The 25,209-nt window shown below is 39.1% G+C and overlaps 1 protein-coding gene and 1 pseudogene across 4 annotated transcripts, besides 1 other annotated feature; both read right to left on the bottom strand.

Annotated features, from left to right (window-relative positions):
- Window positions 1–4,173: 4,173 nt before the first annotated feature.
- Window positions 4,174–16,667, bottom strand: CLDN12 (claudin 12). 3 transcript variants are annotated; one of them, NM_001185072.3, is made up of 4 exons: window positions 16,579–16,667; window positions 14,520–14,609; window positions 8,079–8,121; window positions 4,174–7,484 (listed from the first exon to the last, which is right to left on the bottom strand). In NM_001185072.3, exon 4 carries the CDS (start codon window positions 7,449–7,451, stop codon window positions 6,717–6,719), a length of 735 nt encoding a protein of 244 aa, NP_001172001.1. In that variant the 5' UTR covers window positions 7,452–7,484; window positions 8,079–8,121; window positions 14,520–14,609; window positions 16,579–16,667; the 3' UTR covers window positions 4,174–6,716. The 3 variants fall into 3 exon arrangements, with proteins under 3 accessions (NP_001172001.1, NP_001172002.1, NP_036261.1); NM_001185073.3 differs by lacking the exon at window positions 8,079–8,121 and having other exon boundaries at window positions 14,516–14,609; NM_012129.5 differs by lacking the exon at window positions 8,079–8,121.
- Window positions 15,962–16,487: an enhancer, noted in NCBI's record as "H3K27ac hESC enhancer chr7:90032955-90033480 (GRCh37/hg19 assembly coordinates)". NCBI's record gives its function as "activates a minimal SCP1, AML or CMV promoter by ChIP-STARR-seq in naive H9 embryonic stem cells {active_cell/tissue: H9 hESC(naive)}" and the evidence as "EXISTENCE:reporter gene assay evidence [ECO:0000049][PMID:30033119]".
- Window positions 16,668–21,891: 5,224 nt separating the features above from the next.
- Window positions 21,892–23,836, bottom strand: LOC101409256 (cell division cycle 42 pseudogene; annotated as a pseudogene). Its single transcript, NR_102424.1, has one exon. The product of NR_102424.1 is annotated as a cell division cycle 42 pseudogene (transcript).
- Window positions 23,837–25,209: the final 1,373 nt, after the last annotated feature.

The raw sequence follows: 25,209 nt of genomic DNA, 5'->3' as shown, positions 1-25,209 counted from the left end.
TCTGGTTGCATTCAAGACACTGGCCAGGGTTGCAGTCATCTAAAGGTTTGGTTGGGGTTAGGGGGATTCACTTCCAAAATGGCTCTCTTACATGGGTGGCAAATTGGTACAGATTGTTGGCAGAAGGCCTCAGCTCTTCCTGTGTTAATCCTACAGCTGTATGTGTCCTCACAACATTGTGGCCGGCTTACCCCAGAGTAAGTGATCCAAGACAGAACAAAACAGAAGCTATGTCTTTTATGACCTATAACCTCAGAAGTCACACATCATAATTTCTGCAAAATCCTACTGGTAACACAGCCTGCTCAATGGGAGAAGAAAATACACAGGGTATGAATATCAGGAAGCAAGATCACTGGGTCCATCTTGGAGGCTAGCTACCACATTCATCATGCCACTTTTTCTATAATAATGAGTAATAGAGGAAACAGATATTCCTTGAATAAGGACTGTGACCAGTCAGTCACAGAAAAGGAATATTCCCCGTTATTTATTATTAAATTCACTTTTTTTTACACATTCATCTTGTGAGATATTGTGTCAATAATCACCAACAGTCTTATCATCTCTGGGCACAGTGAAAAAATTCTTCTAGACAACTCATGTCTTTGTGCTTAGACTGTTCTAAGATGTAGCTGCCAAATTTTATTTTAAGTATGGGAGAAACTAGGTATCAGTTGCATTTTTTCTTTGTTTTTTGAGATGGAGTCTCGCTCTGTCACTCAGGCTGGAGTGCAGTGGCACGATCTCGGCTCACTGCAACCTCTGACTCCCGGGTTCAGATGATTCTCCTGTCCTCTGCCTCCTGAGTAGCTGGGACTACAGGCACATGCCATCACACCCGGTTAATTTTTGTATTTTTAGTAGAGACGGGGTTTTGCCACGTTGGCCAGGTTGGTCTCGAACTCCTGACCTCAGGTGATCCACCTGCCTCACTCAGCCTCCCAAAGTGCTAGGATTACAGGCATGAGCCACCGTGCCCAGCCTCAGTTGCATTTTATTAGGATCATTCTGCAGCCCTGTGTATAGATAAATTTGTGGTAGGGTAGGAGAGCAATATTGGAGACAGAGAGACCTGTTAAGAGGCTATTTCAGATAGCCCCTTTATCACAGATAACATTTTACAACTCTCAGCATTGCTATTATTTTTCATTTCCTCATTAGCTAACCTGAATCTCAGCAAACGTGTCTTGCCTAAGCAGCGGTGTGCCAGTAAATGTTTAATAATCAGCTCTCAGGAAAAGGCAAAGCAAAGCCCTAACTTGCAGCATTTAACAATTTCTAGAGCATAAGTACTTTCACCCTGGCCAATTCCAAGCAACCAATATGATGTCACAGGTTGGGCAGTTGGGAGGAGATGTACACACTGGTTCTTGTGGGCCAGTACCACTTGGCTCCAGCACTCCACTGCTACCTTTGAGCTCTTAAAGCAGAAGCAGCCAGAGAAGCAGGTTAGCAGTTCTGGAACACAAGGGACTAGCTGAGTCTCGGCCCTCATCCACATGGCCAGCAAAGGTGAAGATGGGCTCACCCCAGAGAAGGGCTACCAGGGCCTGGGGTTTCCCTGCAGCAGCCTCCTGGTGCTAAACTGCCACCTGGATCTTCCACACCACAAGATTATCTTTTGAAAGTGAGGTCAAGAAAGGGGGCATGGAGAAAAAGACAAAAGTTACTTAAAAATGTAAGTGAGTTATCTAGATTTATTTACTAGATTCACTTTCAACAATTTGAGAGTGAACCTTGGAAACAAGGCCACTAGGTATTATACAATGTAAAGTATCAATAATGTCTTTTCTCTTAATGAGAAGCTGTGCCTTTTTTCCTATAAAGCAAAATCCTGGAGATATAAGCATATATTCCATCTTTCTAAAGAGGATTTTGGTTAATAAGACCACCCCAAAATCATGATTACTAGACTTTTGCTAAGAGGTCCAGTCACACTGGGTTTTTCATATAAAATAAGAAAAAGGTTCTTTTTCTTCTCATCAACCATTTCGCTATCTTCCCCAAATTTTGCTGAATACAATTTTCTATAGAACAACCTGAAAAGTTGGCATATTTTGAAACAAAATACAACAAACCAACCCAAATCTCCCTGTAATAGCAGACTTGGATATGAACACCAGGCAGGATATAGATGTGCTTTTTCTCCCCAAGTCCTACAGTCCTGCAGTGAGGTTCAAAGGGCTCTCTTGCATGCTATGGCACTGACATAGAAGCTGGCTGGGCTGGAGGGTAATGAGCCACCCAGCAGGTACAGGGGGAATGAACCTCTCCTGGAAAGGGTCCTCTAGTATGTGTGGGGTAACGTGAGTACGCTTTCAGATTGAAGACACTGCTAACCAACAGAAATGGAACAGCTAATTAAGTTACCATCCAGTCCTGTGTTTCTGTGACTTTGATTTACAACTCTTCTGCAGGGACTTTTTAGTTTTTCAGGACAGAAGATCTGACACAAATTCTTTTAAAATCTCTCCTAAAAGAGTTTATTTTATAAAATATTTTGGAGATAGGACTATATTTTTATGCATTTTTTATAAAAATGAAGAGATATGAGATCAGGATAGAGAAGGAAACAAAAAGCATAAATGGGACCAATGAGCTGCATGTTTCAAGATTAGACTCAGGCAATACCTCAGAAATATTGTGGCCTTCTCCTTGCATCATATCAGAAAGTGCATGATGTTGCTTTTTCTTATTATTGGTGACAAACTTGATCACTCAGCTAAGGTTGCCAAGTTTATCCACTATAAAGTTATTTTCCTCTCTGAAATTAATAAGCCATTTTGTACTTTGAGACTAAGCAAATATCCTGCCTCTCATAAAAAATTCAACTAGTTTTAACCCCATTGATGTTTTTCTCATTTTTTTCTCTACTTTTTATTTGGTATTTTACTATAAGAAAGAGCTTTTCTTTCTTCCCCTATTTATATCAGCATGGACATATGGATTTGTATTTTATTCAATGAGTTATAACCCATTACTATCATTTATTTTGATGTTCAGATTGTCCCAGATTTGGCCAATGGGAGCACCTTCAATCTGGCGCCTGTGAAATTTGATAAGCTCCCATGATTCTTTGAGCGTTTCCTCACTTTTTGGCAGAATAAGATGTGCTGGGCCTTGGATAAAACTGGTTGTGTCTGATGGTTCTAAGTAACATGTATTTCTCACTTCTGGTTGGTAAACCAGTCTCTGGTGAACCTGGTTAGCCCGAATGGTTTCTCTACCATTTATTCACCCTCAGTGAACCTGCACAACAGTCCAGAACGGACTGTTGTTCGTTAGTGTAACCCAGTTTGAAGTAGCTTCTGATTTCCAGTGCAACATATGGCTCAGCTATCTAACCTATCAGAGCCACAGGTTTCAGTGAGAAGTGTATGTAAGAACTGCCCCAACACAGGTGTAATCCAAAACTATACATTCATCACAGGTTTCAGAAATGTTGAGGTGACATGCCTGTCAGGACCACTTCTCCTGGTAACCTCGAGCTTTGAAGAGTACGGAAAGTTCCCTCTACTTAACTGTTTGAGAACTGAACTCCCAGTCTCTAAGATCACAGGCTGAGAAAACTCCATTGATGAGGCAAATCTGGCCCACAACTTGTCTCTTTGCAGACTGTTTAAAAAAAAAAGAAAAGGAGAAAAAAAAAAGCCCAGTGAACTGTTAGGACCACAGGACTACTTGGACTACTCTTAGAAATGGATAAAACGTCTTGGCACTTGTGGAATAAAAGTTCCATGTTTTCCAATTCCTTTCTAGTTCCTTTTTCTGAGACAAAGTCTCTGTCACCCAGGCTGGAATGCAGTGGCATGATCTCAGCTCACTGCAACCTTCACCTCCCATGTTCAAGCAATTCTCGTGCCTCAGCCACTCGAGTAGCTGGGATTACAGGTGCACACCACCATGCCTGGCTAATTTTTTGTATTTTTAGTAGAGACAGGGTTTCACCACGTTGGCCAGGATGATCTCAAGGGCCTGACCTCAAGTGATCCGCCTGCCTTGGCCCCCCAAAGTGCTGGGATTACAGGCGTGAGCCACTGCACCCAGCCTTCCAGTTCACACGTTTTAGAGCTTTAAATGGAACTGTCTTTTTCAATTTACATATATCTGAGAAACATTTCTCAAAATATTTCACCTTAAAACACTGAGGAAAAAAACAGAAGCAGAAACTTGTAAAAATACATCTTTTAATAAACATTAAGAAGTACAGCGCACTTTTATTGAGGTTTTACATTGTAGTTTACAGCAAATATACTATCCATTGTAGTGTATATGTACAAGTAAAGTAAACTTAGGTTTGTTTTCTCTCCCATGGCTGGATAAACCAAATCTGATACATCCACATTTAAGGTTGTTTTCCAAGTTGGTTTCCATAAAAGGCCTTTAACAATAATAGGCTTTTAACAACAAAAAGGTATCCCTCCCATCACAATGAGAGCTTGATGAGGGCTCAAAAGTGACTTCAAAAACTGTAAATAATTATTTTCCTTGGACGGCTTTAAAAACAGCTACTGATAGCAAATCAGAAACACTAAAGAAAAAAGACAATAAGGAAACAGCTGTTTGTCTAGTGAATCCATAATAAATACCAATTTGAGGCTATAGATTACAAAGCCAAAATATTCTTATAGGAAAGTTAATGTTTATATTTACAATCCCATGGACTAAAAAAACTGTCTAATATCTTAAAGACTGAGTCTACCTTTATTTAACATTGTTTATACACAAAGACCCAAGGGATGGTAGAATTCTTGATCCTTCTGGACAAAAGCATAGTGAGAGGGGACTGAAATTAACAAAAAGGGAAAATTAACATTAATCTCAAAATTCTACCCATCGTTGTCTTAAAATGATCAAGACTCAGCTACATCTGAGAAAAAGGAAAAGGATCAGAAGTGAAAGAAATCAGAAGCCAGTAATTAAAAAAATCATAACCTTGTGTGCTTTCTACTGACGGCATTTAAAAATTTATACAACTAGATTTATTCGCTATATATATAAACTAGTGTTGGAATTAGGGGAAAAAGTACCAAATACATCTACACAAATACTAGAATCATATTCAGAATTGCAAAAAGGCATAATAATCTGTTTACCATATAACTAGCTGTTTGTAAAATCTGTAATGGTTAATAAAAAATCCTTACGAATATAGTACTAATATGTAGTAAATTACACCAATTAAATAAGCAGCTCAAATTCATAAGGCTAAAGACCCAATATCCCTGAATTTCTAAGTGTTCATCTCAGCTTTAACATGGTTTCATCTAATTGTTACCTCATCAGAAGAGACATTTTTAATAACTCCTCCATCCTTAATACATCATCATACTTTCAGAAGTGGAGAGGGAACAATTTCCCTACCACTTTTGTCCATTCTCATAAATCAGTGTTATTACAAAATCTAGGCTAGCACAGGTGCCTTAAAGGATACAATGGACTGAAGTAAACAGAATTTCAAGGTCCAGGATATTGTTGGTGTTGTACAATTTGTCTGTCTGCCAGAAAGTTGTGTCTCTGGTTGAAATATTCCTGGATCAATGATTAAGAAGTTAAGGCCAACTGCCAACGAAGTCAGATTATTCCCCAACTGCCAGGTAACATTTTGATCTTCTCTATTAAAATGTCTTACTGGATGGAACCAGATCTCATACTTTTCATGTATCCTCTATAGCACCTACTAAAGTGTTAGGCAGAGATATATGCTCAAGGAAATAATCAGTGACGGGGGCGAGAAATGAATCAAGGGTGAATGAATCAAGGTTATGGTAAAGCCATACCTTACTTCACCCATAACTCAAAAGGCAGTCACCAGAGTAAATCTCTAGTGTACTCACTGAAGAACAGACTTCTTGTCCCCTACTAAATTATGTCTGAAAGAGAACAAACCATTATGGCCCTTTTATTTATTTCTCCTAGCCACTAAGAGATTGTATATGGGCACGAGTACTGCTTGATGGAAGATATCTCCAAAAAAGAGTTTTCTGCCTCAGAGGAAACACTAACCTGTCATAAAGCACATTCTAATCCCAATAATACAATTTATGGAATCATTAATGTTAAAAATTATTACATGTTATTCATAAGTAGGTGATATTTAGAATGGTAGTCTTATTCTAACATCGTTAAAATACGTTTTACTTTTAAACAGTGGCATGAGGTAGAAGAAAGTCACAAAAGAAAGTAATCTTCAACATACTGACACCTATTCATACAATTAGCCCCGATAGAAGAGTTACAGCCTTAAGCTAGATTATTGACTACTATTAAAATATTACCCTTACCTGAAATAAATTTCTTATATTTGAAACTGCCTTTTCTTTGCAGTTAAAGGTATTATAGAAAAAGAAAAATACACACTGAAATTTTCATGAAGATTGTATACAACAGCTTCTGCTAACCATCATTCTTTAACATGTTGCTCTACATTACCTCAATTGTGATGCAGGCCTCTTCCACTTAAATAATTAATTAGATATCAATATGAAGGCTAAAATTCCTTCCAGTATAAGAAGCAAAATTTAAAAAATTCACATTTAATATAATATACTTCTCATAAAAACTAGCAGCACTTCATTCTACTAGGACATATAAATTTGGCTTCATTGATTGGTCAAAAACAAAGGAAAATGTATGTAGGTCCAAAAGAGCTCTTTGCACAAGGGGAATGTGAGGCTACAAGAAGTTTTCTTTAACAATTAACTATTTCCCCATTAAGTGGTGTGTGAAACTACTGGAATGTCAATTTCAATGGCAGAGAGGCGAGAGCGTGCTGAATAGGGCTGTGAGTAAGTATGCATACTGGGTGGATGGGAGTACAATGGTTGCCAGAAAGGAGAAGGCAAAGATTTGCATGTACAATACCAAATAAATAGTATAAGGGAAGTCATAAACAGGCCCCCAGCACTAGCAATAGTGACATACACTGCATAGTCAAATGAAAAGACTGGCTCAAACTTCTTGTTCAGATGGATGTTATAAAAGATGACCCAGATAGATGGGGAGAGGCTCACAGTACCTGCCAGGAAAAATAGCAGCCCAGCCACCAGGTGGCAACCTGCACTATTGACCAGACACTTGGCCAGTTTGATGTTGGGCACCGAGGACCTGAAGGCAGTGTTGCACATTCCAATCAGGCAGAGCAGCAGGGCACCCATGGCGATCAGCATGCTGAGGGGTAGGGCAAACTGGAGGACACGCAGGTCCAGCTGGTCAACTGATGAGTACCAAGTAGTGTCGTACATCAGGCAGTCACTGCTCCCGTCATACCGGGCACATTTCACCCACAGGCCTGTGTAAACAGTCAGGTTCTTCTCGTTTCTGTTGAATGTGATCAATCGTAATTTTCTCCAGTTGGGAAGCAGAGTCCCTGCAAAGAGGCCTGCTACTGAGGCGATTCCACACAGGAAGGAAAGGACTGTGGCTGCGTGGACATCCCGACAGCCCATGGCAGGCAAGCTTGTGGAGTACTGTCAGTCAGACTAGGGGGTGACACACAAGAGGACAAATCATGAGGGGACAATAGCAGAACAGAGCAGGAAGGGTGGTGCCAACTGGCAACACATCTAATGATGAAATGTCAATGCAAAGAGGGAAAGTCTCTCCCTTGTTTCCTCTCTGTACAGTACAAATGTATATACATGCAGGTGTGTGTGACCTCAGAGCACAGGTGCACACACATTTGGTTATTACTGACTGGGTCATAGAGCAACTAAAATCTTTAGCCATCGGTATTTTTCTTCACAATTAAAAAAACAACCAAGATAATGTTAAAGTCTCTTACAATCACACCTTCAATCTTCTTTTTGTCAATAATCGTTCTTTCAACACATATACATCAAGCACTCTGTATGTGTCAGGCACTCACACAGCAAGGGCCCACTCATCAATCATCAGTTAGCTACAAACACCACAAATTCAGCCTCAAATGCTCATGCAGCAGGGGTGAAGGTGGCTCATAAAAAGCAAAGGTGTAGGGAAAGAAGCAGTACAGGACAGGGGAATGGTTGAGAGTCAACTCTTAGCAAGGTTGCTTGAATTCTAATCCCCATCTCCTCACTTACTAGCTCACTGACCTTGGGCCAGATTCAGAACTTCCCTGTGCCTCGTTTTCTTCATCTGTGAAATGGAAAAAATAACAGTGCCAACCTTGCAGGGTTGTTCTATGGGTTCAATGAGATAATATAATGTCAAGTGCTTAAAACATGTCTAGAACACAACAAATGCTATGCCAAGTGTTAACTACTTCTTAGCATTCAGTGACCCAGCTCACTGCTTGGCACATCACAGGAGTTCAAAGAACATTCATTGAATGAATGTTAAATAAGAAAAAACAAACTGATCTCATTCCTATGTACTAGGCACACTAGGAAATTATAAAAAGTAAATGAGCTCATCTCCAATGAGTCAGTCAAATGAAAAGATGAGAACAATGGTCCCTGAAATTATTCTGCTTAATTACTTCCTTGTTGATTCAACATGACCCAATTACTTCCTTGTTGATTCAAGATGTAGATTTTCAGGGAAATCTACAGCACTTGTTGGTTATTACTACTACTGTTCATATAAGACGAATGCAAACATTTTTCAAGTAACGACAACCTATTTCTATTAATGCTATTATAAGAAAAACAGTCGCCAGGCCTTTCATTCCAAATTAAAAGGCCATGTTCTTTTTCTGTATATGGCAAACTATAAAAAGCTTGCATCTTATTCAGCTTTAATTTCCTCAAGGGTCTGATATTCACTCTCAAAGCAGGACTCAAATGTATTTTCTCTGCCTTCTATAATGCCTACTATGAGGCAATAGAGCAGACTACTTCAGTAAGGTTTACTTTTTTGTTCAGAGCATGATGAAGGGGCAAGGTTGAGAATAATTTTTATTTCTGAATACAGTTCCATCAACCTTTGCAGAATCAAACATCTGCTGGGATGGTGAAGTTGTGTTTCCAAGCTTTCAGGATCAGAAAGACAATTATGACCAAAATGCTAGGAAGCTGGCTTAGAATGTGATTGTTGCATGAATTCCAGTGGGAGGGCACAATGTTCTTTAGAAAACAATGTTATTTGTATATTTAATCTAGTCATATAATATAGGAATAATTTTTTCTTTTTCTTTCTTTTTTTTTTGAAACAAGTCTTACTCTGTTGCCCAGGCTAGAGTGCAATGACACAATCATGGCTCACTGCAGCCTTGACCTTCCAGGCTCAAGCGATCCTCCCACCTCAGCCTCCTGAGTAGCTGGGACCATAAGCACACGTCACTATGTTCAGCTAATTTTTGTATTTTTTGTAGAGACGGGGTTTTCTCATGTTGCCTAGGCTGGTCTCGAACTCCTGGGCTCAAGCAATCCACCAGCGTCAGCCTCCCAAAGTACTGAGATTACAGGTGTGAACCAGCCCTCCTCCTTCCACCCCCACAATTCTTATTCCCTTTCTTCTTTTCTTTCTTTTAGAGACATGGTTTCACCATGTTGGCCAGGCTGGTCTCGAACTCCTGGCCTCAAGCAATCTTGCTGCCTTGGCCTCCAAAAGTGCTGAAATTACAAGCTGGGATTATAGTCATGAGCAACTGCGCCCAGCCAGAATAATTTTACTAACCAAAAAAATGCCTATGTGTACATACATATATTCAAATATACACAAATAGCATATATAAATGTACAATATAAAAATCAGAGTTTAAGCACAAGTAACCATTTTTAAAGCCCTCAAGTTAAACATGGTTAGTTCTAAGTTTTTCCATTAGTATTAGTTTAGTATTTATTATGTTACCTTCTGTCAGTATTATCAGAAGTAGCAATTTCTTAAGAAAATTTTATGAAAGGGAGAGACTAATTACAGTATTTTTTTCAAGCAAATTGGGAAAAAGCTGTCTTGCTTAATTGTGGCAACCAAACACCTCAGTACAGCAATGGAAACTAGTACAGATTTGAGAATGTTTGCACTGGAAAAAGCTACTAGAAATGCCAAGCTCTAGGATACAGCTCTCTGGTGGTCTTTGCTTATTCATCTGTCTATCTCCCCCATACAACTTGTGTGCCTGGCACACAAGTGATTCTAGGATTATTTGAATAAACGAGTATTGGGCTCTGTACAAAGACCCCAGTAACTCACAAAGGTGGGCCACTGGTAATGAAGAACTGTACAAGGAAGTAGCTATTACTAAGAAGCAATCATTCATTCAGCAAGTACTTACATCATGCTGAGTGTCTAGCATATGCAAAACACTCTGTTAGGCCCTGGAAAGACACCAAGACCACTGATAACTGGACCTTGCTCCCAATGTGTTTATAGAGACTTGTGGAAAGAAACGGCTGTCTTATGTAAACTCAAAGTGTTGGTGGTGAATCAACTGTATAATTACTACGTATCAAGTGATTATTGTTAGGTGTTAAGCAAAGTGAATAAGGTACCTGTTCATAAAAATTTATCAGGCAGGAGTTAAAGACTGAGAAATGAAGGAGAATAAGGATTTGATTAAAGTTGTGAAGACATAGGAAAAAGGTTCCCTCGTTTCTTTCAAGCTTCAGAAGTCTTCAGATAACCCACTCAAAGTCCTAATGCAATCACAATTCCTTCTTGCTTTCAGAAGTAATATACTGGCTGGGCGAATTGGCTCATGCCTGAAATCCCAGCACTTTGGGAGGCCAAGGCTGGTAGATCACTTGAGGTCAGGAGTTTCAGACCAGCCTGGTCAACATGGTGAAACCCCATCTCTACTAAAAATACAAAAACTAGCCAGGCATGGTGGCACGTGCCTGTAATCCCTGCTACTCAAGAGGCTGAGGCAGGAGAATCGCTTGAACCCAGGAGGTGGAGGTTGCAGTGAGCCAGATCACACCACTGCACTCCAGTCTGGGTGACAGAGCACGAGACTCTGTCTCAAAACAAACAAACAAACAAACAAACAGGAACAAAAAACAAAAGTAGTATAGAAATAATTGGAATTTCAATGTAATTGAGATTTCTCCAATCAAACTGCCCTGTAACACTGATTCCTGAAATGTAAATGGAGTGAGAAACAAGATCAGGATGTATAACTCCATTATTAATAAATTCCAGGCCAGGTGCTGTGGCTCATGCCTGTAATTCCAGCACTTGGGGAGGCTGCGGTGGGAGGATAGCTTGAGCCCAGGAGTTTGAGACCAGATTGGGCAACATAGCGAGACCCCATCTCTACAAAAAAAAGAAAAATTAATTATTAAGAAAAATAAATAAATTCCTATAATTCTTAGCCTATAGACTATCAAATGACATTAATGAAGAGAGGTACGACAATATATATTTCAGTAGTAAGTGCTTTTAACTATATTCTGCATCAAATCAATACAAATATTATATTGGTTCTCTGAAATTGCCTTTGATGAAGCATTCTTAGCTCAGATCTCAGGGATGGACAGAGGCCTATCTATACAGAGTCAACAAGGATACCACGGCACTTTTTCAGAAGGGAAGTACTATTAACCTTAATTCTTAAGCTAAATTTTGGCCTGATACTGGAATTAATGTCTAGCTTCTTTTGGCTACTTCACCTTGTATGCCCTGTTCTTAATTTCAAATGCCTATGATTTGATAAGTCATATATCCCACCAGAGAGATAAAGTAATTTCTTTTAAGACAGGGTCTTACTCTATCACCCAAGCTGGAGTGCAGGGCATGATCACAGCTCACTAGATTTCAGTGAGCTGAGATCCTGGGCTCAAGTAATCCTCCTGCCTCAGCCTCCTGAGTAGCTGGGATAACAGGTGCATGCCACCATGCCAGACTAATTTTTAAGTTTTCCCTAGAGATGGGGTCTTGCTGTGTTGCCCAGGCTGGTCTTGAACTCTTGGGCTCAAGCAATCCCCCCACCTCCACCTTTCAAAGGGCTGGGATTACAAAAGTAAGCCACCATGCCTGAAGTAAAATTTTATAGGATAGTTTGGGGAAAGAATATGTTTGATGTTTTAAAACAAAGATAATGCTGACTTCCCGATTAGGATTTGTTCATACTTGCAAGGGTAAAAAGACCTCTACTCTTGTGCTGTGTCAATTAGTTTTAATCCACAATAATTTTTTTCAAATGCAAACCTCATCCGCCATTCCATTTCTTACCATTCAATAAGTTCCCATTTCCCACAGAATAAAATCTCTAAAGTTTCAACTCCTCCCCATAGCTTACACCACCTGATTCCTACCAAATTCTCAACCTTCGTATGTGCCACTCTCCCACCCCACACACTACAGTCTATGCAGCCAAACCACATTTCTTTTGACTTCCCAAATTTTCCACTTTCTGATTTGGTTAAGGGCCTTCCCTCATGGTCTTTCTCCTAGAACTTTCTTAATTCCAACCTATTCTTTGCTTGGCTAATATTTACTCATTCTTCTAGTGTCCAGGGAGGCTTGTCCTAAACCTCCCCCTGTCCCTGGTTATATGCTGTGGTAGCACTTTTGCACTTTTTCTTCTGTAGCAGTGATCATTCTTATAACTCCTTGTTCAGTGTAGTTTTCTTTCCCATCAGACTGTGAATTCCAGGGACAGAGATCCCTTTGTTTTGTTCACTGTTCCCTATACTGGCACATAAAAGGCACTCGATTATTTGCTGAATGAATGAACAAACAAATGGAGGTTCTGTATAACTCTGGTCAGAATACAGACAGAAATTTAGTCTCAGTTCCATTCACTTCATTTGAGAGAATTCACACCACCCTGTGTTCTGATACATCCAGACTGTTTCTAGACTGTGCCCCTGCTTTCTCCTTTTTGGCCAAAAGACTCCCATTTTACAAAACAACATTCATTTTCTTACCCCAGAAACCTGTGATTAGCAAAGACAAGGCCATCCTTAGGTACCTACATGCAGACTATGATTCTAGAAATATATATCTAGGTTTAGCAACACTGTCTAACTTCAACAAATGGTTTGAAAGTCAATTATTCCTGGCGCGGCGTGGTGGCTCATGCCTGTAATCCCAGCACTTTGGGAGGCCGAGGTGGGTGGATCACGAGGTCAGGAGTTTGAGACTAGCCTGGCCAATATGGTGAAACCCCGAGACTCCATTTCAAAAACAAAAAGTCCACTGTTCCGGTATTGATTTTTCTGTTTTCAACTTAACAGGTATGTCATGAATTAGACATACTTCTCTTAAGAGTGGTTAATATATCAAATTAATATTTATTAAAGCTAAACAATATATAGTTTTTTTAATGGAGAAAAAAAAACATCTTTTTGCCATGTGAAAATCCCTAATTAGGGACTGTGGAAAACGTGCAAGGCTAAGAACACTTTAACAAATCTGTCAAGCAGTCATGAGTACTAGCTGGATGAGAGCTTTGAGCTAGGTCATACATACACATAAGTGGTTTGTTGTTTCCATCCAGGAGGCTGCTTGGTATTGTTGTCCAGGAGACCAAAGACCTGAATAACATTCATAACCTATCATTTACAAACTGGACAAGTCACTTATGTCCTCTGAACCTCCAATTTTTCATCTGTAAAGTGTCCCACAAAGTAGTAAAATCATGAATAGCAAAGTCCTTTGTAAACCAGAATATGGTCAGAAATGTAAGTCAGTAATGATTATTAGCAGGCTTATTTACTTTTTTCAGCTAGAAACATACTTTTCTTCTGGACCCTCAGCAAATGACTACAGATGGTTATAGTCATATAACAAGAAGGACAGAACATTCTCTTTGGAGATACTGACCAAATCAAATAGAGACTCTATTTCAAATAACCACTTCACATTTGTCATTTGACTCTCTGTTCCACCGTGACTCAGAAAAGTAGATAAAATTTGATACACAATTAAATGTTATCAGAGACATAATTACGAATAAAAATATTTTCAAATTATATATTTTCTGTGGTTTTGAATAGAATTTAAAGAAGGCTGGAGCAGGAACAGTGGCTAAGAGCTTTAGGAAGTCATGTATCCAATAGACCCTGTACTATTTTTTCCAGGCACAATTCTGAGTTATAGTTACAAGAGTTACGAGAGTACATATGTCTAATAGCAGCTAGCTTCTATTTTTTTGAGACAGGGTCTCGCTTTCTCACCCAGGCTGGAGCACAGTGGTGCAATCATGGCTCACTGCAGCCTCGACCTCCGAGGCTCAAGCAATCCTCCCACCTCAGCTTCCAGAGTAGCTGGGACTATAGGCATGTACCACCACAACTGGCTAATTTTTTAAAATTTTCTCATACAGTCAGGATCTCGCTATGTTGCCCAGGATGGTCTCAAACTCCTGGGCTCAAGGGATCCTTCCACCTCAGCCTCTCAAAGCGCTAGGGTTACAGGGCTGAGCCACCATGCCCAGCCCTAACTTAATTCTTGATGGTAACATTGAGAGTTCCTTCTACCTATAATTTGGGTTTTCTTAGAAACTGTAAGTCATCAGTCATTGTACTCACAAGAGAGGTCTGTCCTATACCTCTATTTTGTTGAACAAGAGAAAAAAAAAGAGTCATTGTTGGCAGATGTGGTAGCAGGAGGGAGGGAAATAAGATATAATTAAAGGACGTACTTACGCTTTGAGGTACCTGACAGTTCCAAAACAGCTTTATTCAGCTTAGAAGAGACACATGAAGATCTGAATACAGAGTAGCAATAATCTGAGCCTAAAGAAATAGGAAAAATACTCCAAATTAACATAGTACTTCTCTAAAAACCCTGCTTGAATTCCCATGGATTAGAAGAAATGATTAGTAATCACCTAAAACCAATGAAATGTTATACTAAAAAGGGCAGACAGTAAGTTTTTTAAAAAGGCAGTTTAGCAGGGGCACAGTGGCTTACACCTGTAATCCCAACACTTTGGGAAGCTGAGGCGGGATGATCACTTGAGCCCGAGTTCAAGACCAGCCTGGCCAACATGGCAAAACCCCATCTCTCCTAAAAATACAAAAATTAGCTGGGCATGGTGGCTCATGCCTATAGTCCCAGCCATGTGGGAGGTTAAGGCACAAGAACCGCTTGAACCTGGGAGGTGGAGGTTACCGTGAGCTGAGATTGCACCACTGCACTCCAGTGTTGGTGACAGAGAGAGATTCTGGCTCAAAAAATAATAATAATAATAATTAGCCAGGTGTGATGGTGCACACGTGTTGTCCCAGTTTCTTGGGAGGCTGACATGGAAGGATCACTTGAGCCCAGGAGTTTGAGGACACAGTGAGTCATGATCATGCCACTGCACTCCAGCCTGGATGACATAGCAATGATCTGTCTCAAATAATAAAAAAAAAAAAATAAAAAGGCTGTTTATTCCTTAATTCATGCATTATATATGAGAAATATATAGAATATAGAAAAATACGTAGAAATAGAAGAAAAAAATTAACTCATCTTGTGACTTGAGAATATAGGAGAAATGAGGATGAAAAACACTTTGCTGTCTTGGGAATATATGATTGATATTTAATGAATGTTTTAGATCATTTTCATGACTACGGTGAAAGGATAAGGAAGGTGGTGAAAGACTGTGCAGTTGTCTTGGAAGTAAAAGAAATTTTCTTTTACATTTTTAAAAAAGGACACTGACAACAAGACCAGACAAAGTTGATCTGAATTCTGCATCCTGAAATTTGCAACCAGAATGCTTAAAAAAAAAATAGTTCCACCAATGGCTCAACCTGATACTTAAAGATGCTTCTATATATCTACTTTAAACATTAGCCACTTCCTCTTCAAATACCATTTATCTCAAACAGGTAGGATGAGAATGGAAACTCATTATTATGTGCGCCTGAGAGTTTCCTGGATTGAGGCGTTCATCACTAGCCCTATTACGATCATTATGTAGAATGCTCTCTGCAACTGGCTGCTCGGAGATTTCAGTCAAGTCCCCCCCAACCCCTCCCCCGCCCCAAATGTGTTTCTTGGGTTGGTATCAATCATAATTGCACACTCCAAAGTCAGAGGAAATCGTTTTACAATTAATAACGCACAATAGAATCCTTGAGCAATCATTTTAAGTGAGGTCACCAAGTCTGACCTTTCCCTAACGTGGCTATGGGCCCCTTACAAGGCCGGGTGCACAGAACTTACAGGAAAGCAAACCAAGCTTCCAGAGCAATCCGCATCCCCCTCCGCCCCCCTCCTCCCCCCTCCGCCTCCTCTCCTCCTCCCTCTTTTCGAAGAGCCCTGTGTGTGGTAGACCCAGACCTGGCAGAAGGAAGAAAACGCCCTACTAGTTAGAGCCAATGGAGAGAGACCGCAACAGTGACTGTTAACGCTCTCAGAGCTAGCCCATCCCTGCAACACTGAGTGGGTTTGAACCGCAAGCAGGTCATCATTACGCAACCAGCATCAGCTGGTTATTCAAAAATAGCAGCTTGGGCTCCCCCACAAACCCGCGCCAGCAAAGCTCCCAGTCCTTGGCGGCTCCGGCAACACACCTCGACATTTCCATACTCCTGTGTACAAAATAATTTTTTAAAGCCTTACCAAATACCTACTCAATTTTCACATCCACAGATGTGGTCAGCGTTTTCCAACGCTCCTGATTCTCCTGGATTTAGCCATTTTACATAAAATCCTCAGTTACTTATGCAAAAGACCCAGAAATCGGAACATCTTGACCACACCTACCTGCTTCTCACACGCAGGGCATTTTACTCGCCCACACTGAGGAGCCTCTTGGAGCGTCTCCCTCTCAGCGTCCCAGGAAGTGCGTTCCCAGCGAGGTACACCGGAGGCTTCTGGGAGCGCAGTCAGGTTTTCCCGTGGCCCTGAACGGCAATGCCCTGGATGGCTGGGACTACAATTCCCAGAATCCACTGGGCCGCCAGCCGCAGGCAACATCCTGCGACCACCTCCTGCCCTTCCCTTTCTCTGCCTCCACCTCCCCGGATTTCTCTTGCACCTTATGTTCCGTCTAGAATTGGGTTATCGGTTAAAGAAAAAAAAAAGGCAAAACGAAACAAAACTAAAAGTAGTTTTGAGTTGGATACCTAAGTACCCAGGTGACTTGAAGGTGACTTGCCCGTAGGAAGGTTAGCAAAAATTCTTAAATCTGGATTTTTTTTCCCCTCAAAGTGTTTATCTAGGCAAAAAGTAGAAAAAGAGCTCAAAGTCTAGAACCAAACAGCCCAGATTTGTATGGGGCTTTGCTGTGTATTGATTGGGTGGCCCTGGGAAAGTTATCTCTACATCTGGAGGTTATCTGGAAAAATGGGGATAAGATCACCCACATCATACTGTTGTCTTGAAAACTGAGGGACCTAATATAGCTAAAGTACAGTATAGCTAGCTATTAGATATTTGAACTAATTTTACTCTCCCACACAATTTCTACTGTCCTGTCCCTTTCTCTGTTGGCTTCTCTCCAATGTGAAGTCCTGCATTAGTGAATGAATATCTGAATTAAACTAAAAGATTCCAAAGTCCTAAATAGCAATGATCTGATTTTTTAAAAAATAAAGGATGCTGAAGTGTTGTGATGCCTACTACTTCGAAATGATCACACATACACACACACATACACACACACAAATGGATATAAAGTGTGGCAAAGTGTATAATTGTTGGATTCATGAAGAATATGTTTGTGGGTGTCTCTTGTACTATTCTTTCAAATTCTCTGTATCTTAGAAATTTTTCAAAATAAAAAGAAGAAAAAGTATCATAGTTTATACAAAAGGATGGCACCCATCCCAAGTAAGTATAACCTTGGCAAGTAAGGTAACCCCTTTGTGCCTCAAGGTCTCATCTGTAACAGTATATCTACATCAGAAAATTGTGATGAGGATTAAATGAATTACTACAGAGACAGTTACAACAGTATCTGACGCATAATAAGGACTATATGTTTGCTATTAGCATTTTCCATTTTGCGTTGCTCTAGTAACAATGAGACTATTTGTCAGAGACTTTTTAAAAAGGGAGGGTAGAGAGGCTACTATCAGTCCACTGCTACCTCCTTCTTATGTGTGATACTGCTTTAGAGGATGGATAAGGTTATCTAAGGCCAGAAGCAATCCGATCCCAAAGCCAGACTGGGAAATGTAATAATGAGGAAGAAAGATAGCATTGGGTGGTGAAAAGATTTCTGGGCTCCAGGCCAGCTCTGGCAATAGCAGATGGATAATAGCAATGTGACAAACGATAATCACTTATTTCCTCTGAACTTCAGTTCTCTCATCTATAAAGCTGAATTGAATCAAATAACTATGTACAAAATCATCTTATAACTTATTTCCCAATCACTGATGAATACTGCCTGATTAGAGGACTTTAGCTGGGAGGTACTTGCAATTGATTACAATAATTTTAAAAAATCACAGCACAAAAAGGAAGGAAAGACAACCCTATTCCTAGACTTACTGTTCAAGCTGGGGTCTAAAATGCCTGCCTCTGGCATAGCAAAGATGGAACAGAATACTTAAATACCCTGTTGGAGTTCAATAGTTAGATAATTGGAATATAATTCTCAAAAATACTTTAGATAAGAATTTAGATCTGCAATTAACAATCCTGTCTTTCCTCTTTTTCTCATTAGAGATTCTTCAAGGAGAAAGTCAAATCTTAAATTCACTGCAGTGTACCATTCACCACCAAAATTCTACAGAGATTCCCATTTGGTCACTGTGTTAGATTTCTATTGCTGCTGTGACAAATTACCACAAATTCAAAGGCTTAAAACACAATAAATTTATTATCTTACAATTCTGGAGGTCAAAAATCTGACACAGGTCTCACTGTGCTAAAATCAGGATGTCAGCAGGGGTTTTTCCCCTTTTTTACTAATGTGTGATAGATGTTCATAGTGTTTAGAAGTAGATATGATCATATAATACATTCATATAATTTGTAAAGATCAAATCAGTGTACTTGGGATATTCATCACCTTAAATATTTGTCTTTGCTTTATGCTAAAACCATTTGAATTCTCTTCTAGCTATTTTGAGATATACAACACATTACTGTAAACTATAGTCACCATACTAATATAACATTAGTTCTCAGTTCTTCTATCAAACCATATATTTGTACCCATCAATCAACTTCTTTTCAAACCCCTCTTCCACCCTACCCTTCCCGGTCTCTGATGACCACCAGCCTACTCTCTATTTTCATGAGATTCACTTTTTTATGTCCCACATGAGTGAAAACATGTGTTATTTGTCTTTCTGTGCTTGGCTTATTTCACGTAACATAATGACTTCTAGTTCCATCCATGTTGCTGCAAAAGACAGGATTTCATTCTTTTGTAATAGTTGAATAATGTTCCATCGTGTAAATATAGCACATTTTCTTTATCCATTCATCCACTGATGGGCATTTAGGTTGATTTCATATTTTGACCATTGTGAATAGTGCTACAATATACATAAGTGTATTGTTTTTCCAATATATTGATTTCCTTTCTTTTGGATATACACCCAGTAGTGAAACTGCTGGATTATATGGTAGTACTATTTTTAGGTTTTTTGGAAACCTCTATACTATTCTCCACAATGGCTGTACTAATTTGCATCCCCATCAACAGTGTACAAGAGTTTCCCTTTTGCCTCATCCTTGCCAGCATCTATTATTGCCTTTTAGATAAAAGTCATTTTAACTGGGGAGGGATATTGTAGTTTTGATTTGCATTTCTCTAATGAGTAGTGATGTTGAGCATTTTTTCATATACCTGTTGGCCATTTGCATGTCTTCTTTTGAGAAATGTCTATTCAGATCTTTTGCCCATATTTTAATCAGGTTATTTGTGTGTGTGTATGTGTGTTTGCTATTGTTTGAGCTCCTTATATGTTCTCGTTATTAATCCCTTGTCAGATAGGTAGATCACAAATATTTTTTCCCATTCTGTGTGTTGTCTCTTCACTTTGTTGATTGTTTCTTTTCCTGTGCAGAGCTTTTTAGCTTGATATAATCCTATTTATTTTTGCTTTCATTGCTTGTGCTTTTAAGGTCTTACACAAAAAATCCTTGCCCAGACAATGTCCTGGAGGGTTTCTCCAATGTTTTCTTCTAGTAGTTTCATAGTTTCAGGTTTTAGGTTTAAGTCTTTAATCCATTTATATTTGATTTTTGTGTATTGTGAGAGATAGAGGTCTAGTTTCATTCTTCAACATATGGATATCCAATTTTCTGGCATCATTTATTGAAGAGACTGTCCTTTCCCCATTGTATGTTCTTGGTGCCTTTGTCAAAGATGAACTGGCTGTAAATGCATGGGTTTATATCTGCATTCTTTATTCTGTTCCATTGGCCTCTGTGTCTGTTTTTTAAGCCAGTACCATGCTGTGTTGATTACTATGCCTTTATAGTAAATTTTGAAGTCAGGTAGTGTGATATCTCCAGCTGCGGTCTTTTTGCTCAGGATTGCTTTGGCTATTTAGGGTCTTTCGTGGTTTCATATATATTTTAGAATTTTTTAAAATTTCTGTGAAAAATGTCATTAGTATTTTGAAAGGGATTGCACTGAATCTGTCAATAGCCAAGGTTAGTGTCATGCTCACAATATTAATTTTTCAATCCATGAACATGGAATATCTTTCCATTTTTTGTGTGTCCTCTTCAATTTCTTTCATCAGTGTTTTATAGTCTTCCTTGTGTGGATCTTTCACATCTTTGGTTAAATTAATTGCTAGGTGTTTTATATTCTTTGGAGCTATTATAAATAAAATTTCATTCTTGATTTATTTTTCAATTGTTTGCTTTTGGCATATATACATGCTACTGATTTTTGTATGTTAATTTTGTATCTTGCATCTTTACTAAATTTGTTTATCAGTTCTAATAGTTTTTTGGTGGATTTTTCTAAGTAAAACATCATGTCATCTGTAAACAAGGCTAATTCGACTTCTTCCTTTCCAATTTAGATGCTCTTTCTTTCTTTTACGTAATTGCTCTGGCTAGGACTTCCAGTACTATATTGAATAAAAGTGGTGAAAGTGGGAATCCTTGTCATGTTCTAGATCTTAGAGAAAAGGCCTTCAGTATTTCCCTGTTCAGTATAATGTTAGCTATGGGTTTGTCATAGATGGCCTTTATTATTTTGAGGTATGTTCCTTCTATACCCAATTTGATGAGGGTTTTTTTTTTATCAAAAAGCGATGTGGATTTTATCAAGTGCTTGTTTAGCATCTATTTAAATAATCATATTGTTTTTGTTCTTGGTTCTGTTAATGTGATATATCACATTTATTGATTTGCATATGTTGAACCATCCTTGCATCCCTGTAATGAATCTCACTTGATTATGGTGAATGATCTTTATAATGTTTTGTTTGAGAAAGAGTCTTGCTCTGTCATCCAGGCTGGAGTGCAGTGGCATGATCTTGGCTCATTGCAACCTCCACCTCCCTGGTTCAAGCGGTTCTCCTGCCTTAGCCTCCTGAGTAGCTGGGATTACAGGCATGCGCCACCATGCACATCTGATTTTTGTATTTTAGTAGAGATGGGTTTTCGCCATGTTGGCCAGGCTAGTCTTGAACTCCTGACCTCAAGCGGTCTTCCTGCCTCAGCCTCCCAAAGTGCTGGGATTACAGGCGTGAGCCACTGCACACAGTCTTTAACATATTGTTGAATTTGGCTTGCTAGTATCTCAAAATTTGTTGAGAATTTTTACATGTATGTTCATTAGTGATATCGGCCTATAGTTTTCTTGTTTCATTCTGTCCTTGTCTGGTTTTGGTATCATGGTAATTCTGGCTTCATAAAATGGGTTTGGATGTTTTCTCTCGTCTTCAATCTTTTTGAAGAGTTTTAGTAGAATTGGTGTTAGTTCTTGAAATGTTGAGTAGAATTCAGCAGTGAAGCCATCAGGTCCTGGGCTTATTTTTTATTTATTGATGGGAGACTTTTTTTTTTACTCATTATTGGTTTATTGAGGCTATTTCTTCATGGTTCAGTCGTGTGTGTGTGTGTGTGTGTGTGTGTGTGTGTGTGTGTGTGTGTAGGGCTTTTTTAATGTAATACATCTGAAAAGAATGCATATATAGAGTTGAGACATGAGAAAGCATTGGTTCAACACTAGTGAATCTATAAGAATTAGGATTGGGGAAAGGAAAAGATTACCTAAACATTTTTAGAAATTGGGAACTGCAACAAAAATAAGCTGATAAATCCCTGTTAACACTTATGAAGAGCCTTCATAAGACTCTTTCCATGATTTTATTAAACTAGAGAGCCTCATCTAGCTGCTCTAGGGTTCCTCATATGTGAAACAGAAATAAGGGGATTCCCTGACTGGTCCCAATGTTGTTAAGTGTTCTCCTCACCCTCACTTCACCCCCAGCTTCTTAATGAAGTAGGTCTTCATTCCCATAACTTGAAAGGATATGGATCATTCCATAGATGTCTGTCTTCTAGCACCACCTCTCATATTTCCTGTACATACCAGGTCTCCAGCTTCATTCTAGGGATAAAATATACTACTGAGTTGCAAATCTATGCTAAGGATATAAGACAATGACTGACAGGGAAAAATTTATTTTAAAATACATATTCTGGGAGGCCGAGGCAGGCGGATCATGAGGTCAAGAGATCGAGACCATCCTGGCCAACATGGTGAAACCCCATCTCTACTAAAAATACAAAAATTAGCCGGGCATGGTGGCATGCACCTGTAGTCTCAGCTACTGGGGAGGCTGAGGCAGGAAAATTGCTTGAACCCGGGAGGTGGAGGTTGCAGTGAGCCAAGATTGTGCCACTGCACTCCAGCCTGGCAACAGAGCGAGACTCCATATCAAAAAAAAAAAAATTACATATTCAATCCAGTTAGTGTATTTCCAATGTGCAATACTTTTCTTCATTAGTGAAAGAAGTTAGGAATTAATTTTCCCCCAAATCAGGAAATGGCAAATAAATGTCTTTGAAAGTCACAGTCACATATATAGTGCATACTAGAAAAGAGGAGGGACAAGACAGGTTCCACGCACTTTCATGAGTATCATCAGATACTGGATCTATTCAAGGGTAAAGAGAAAAGGCAACTTTCAAAAAGTAGCACATTATTAAATGAAGCATTTACTATACTTCTTCCTAAGAGCACCAGATTGAGAACATGTTTTCTAAATGAGATCTAAAAAGTGGAATGTGGAATCAATCTGTCCTCCTCCCCTTAAGGGCTGTCCATTGGTTAATTAAAATAAACAAGACTAAAAATCAAACCCCACCCATACTCCCCCTCCCAAAAAAGAGGGGGAAAAACTCACTAAAATGTCCCAGATTACTCTCCAGAATAGAACCAGGGAGCAGTTTTAACAATTCAAATTAGTCTGTTACAGAGTCAACACAGCATGCCTTGCTTTTAAACAAAAAATTAAATTAAAAAATAAAATTTTTTTTGGAACAACAAAACAAAAACTAATACTGATCACTTTTCTGACAATACACAATTACTCAAAATTAACTAGTACTGGGAGAGGGAAGGTGGGGATACTTATGGGCCTTGTCTCACACGAGTGCATGTGTGTAAGTCCAGGGCATTTGTCATTATCGCAAAAATGAATTTTGATTTTTAATCTCTAGTTTGATAAACACTGCTTTTGGTATGATGCCAATACCAGCTGTGCAGGAAAGGCTCTGGAAAGATGTTCATAGCAGCACACACTTGCAGCTCTTTTTCAGTTCTGGAGGCTCCAGGGCAGCCAATATGGCTTCATCAGATACATTTTTCGGCCTAATTTGCAGTTTCACTCCAGTGTTGCTTCGATGATTTTCTGTCTGGATGATCTGTTCATTACTGAGAGTGGGGAGTTACAGTCCCCTACTATTATTGTATTGTTGTCCATTTCTCCCTTTAGATCTATTAATGTTTGCTTTATATATTTGGGACCTCCGGTGTTGGGTGCAGATATTTGTAATGTTATATCCTCTTGCTGAATTGATCTCTTTATCATTATATAGTGACCTTCTTTGTCTCTTTTCAGTCTTTTATTTGTAGTCAATTTTATCTGATTTAAGAATAGCTACTCCTGTTCTTTTTTGGTTTCCAGCTACATGGAATATCTTTTTCCACCCCATCACTTTCACCATGTGTATCCTCATAGGTGAAGTGGCAGCATATACTTTGTTTCATATCCATTCAGCCCCTCTATGCCTTTTCATTGGAAAATTGAATCTATTTACATTCAGAGTTATTATTTGATAAGTACTGCCATTTTTTTTTGCTTGTTTTCTGGTTGTTTTGTAAGTCCTCTCTTTCTTTCTTCCTGTCTTCCTTTATGGTTAAATGATTTTCTCTCATTGTATGTTTTAATTAGTTGTTTTTCATTTTTAATAAATCTATCATAGATTGTTGTGTGAGATTACCATGAGGCTTACAAAAAATGTTATTTTAAGGAGATGACAACTTAGATTGCAAAAAAAGTGAAAAAAAACTTGTACACTTTAACTCCATGTCCCACATATTTTGACTTTTAGTTATCTCAATTTACCTATTTTTATATTACCTACCTCTTAACAGGTTGCTGTAGCTATTATTGTTTTTGATAGAGTTGACTTTTGCGCTTTATACTAGAGTTATAAATAAATTGCACACCATAATTACAATACTAGCATATTCTGGATTTATCTGTGTACTTAATTTTACCAGCGGATTTTATATCTTCAAATGTGTTGGATTTTTTTTCTGCATGGTTAGTGTTTTTTGCAGAACTTCCTTCAGCATTTCTTTTTTTTTTTTTTTTTTTTTTTGAGACGGAGTCTCACTCTGTAGCCCAGACTGGAGTGCAGTGGCACGATCTTGGCTCACTGCAAGCTCCGCCTCCCGGGTTCACGCCATTCTCCTACCTCAGCCTCCCGAGTAGCTGGGACTACAGGTGCCCGCCACCATGCCCGGCTAATTTTTTGTATTTTTAGTAGAGACGGGGTTTCACCATGTTAGCCAGGATGGTCTCGATCTCCTGACCTCGTGATCCACCGGCCTCGGCCTCCCAAAGTGCTGGGATTACAGGCGTGAGCCACCGCGCCCGGCAGCATTTCTTGTAAGATGGATTTGGTGGTAGTGTGGGAAGGGACATATATCTCCTTCATATTTGAAGGATTACTTCTGGTTCCAGTATACTTGGATGGCAGGCTTTTTTTCTTTCAGCACTTTGAAAATGTCATTGCACTCCCTCCTGGCCTATATGGTTTGTTGAGAAGTCTGTTGCCAGATGAACTGGAACTCCTTTATGTTATTTGCTTGTTTTATTTTGCTGCTTTTAGGATTCTCTTTGTCCTTGACCTTGGAGAGTTTGATTATTAATGCCTTGTGGTAATCTTTGTATT

Source organism: Homo sapiens, chromosome 7 (genome assembly GCF_000001405.40).
Source record: "Homo sapiens chromosome 7, GRCh38.p14 Primary Assembly".
Classification (NCBI taxonomy): Eukaryota; Metazoa; Chordata; class Mammalia; order Primates; family Hominidae; genus Homo; species Homo sapiens.
Note: the sequence above shows the minus strand (reverse complement) of the source record. Positions and strands in the feature narration are given on the sequence as shown.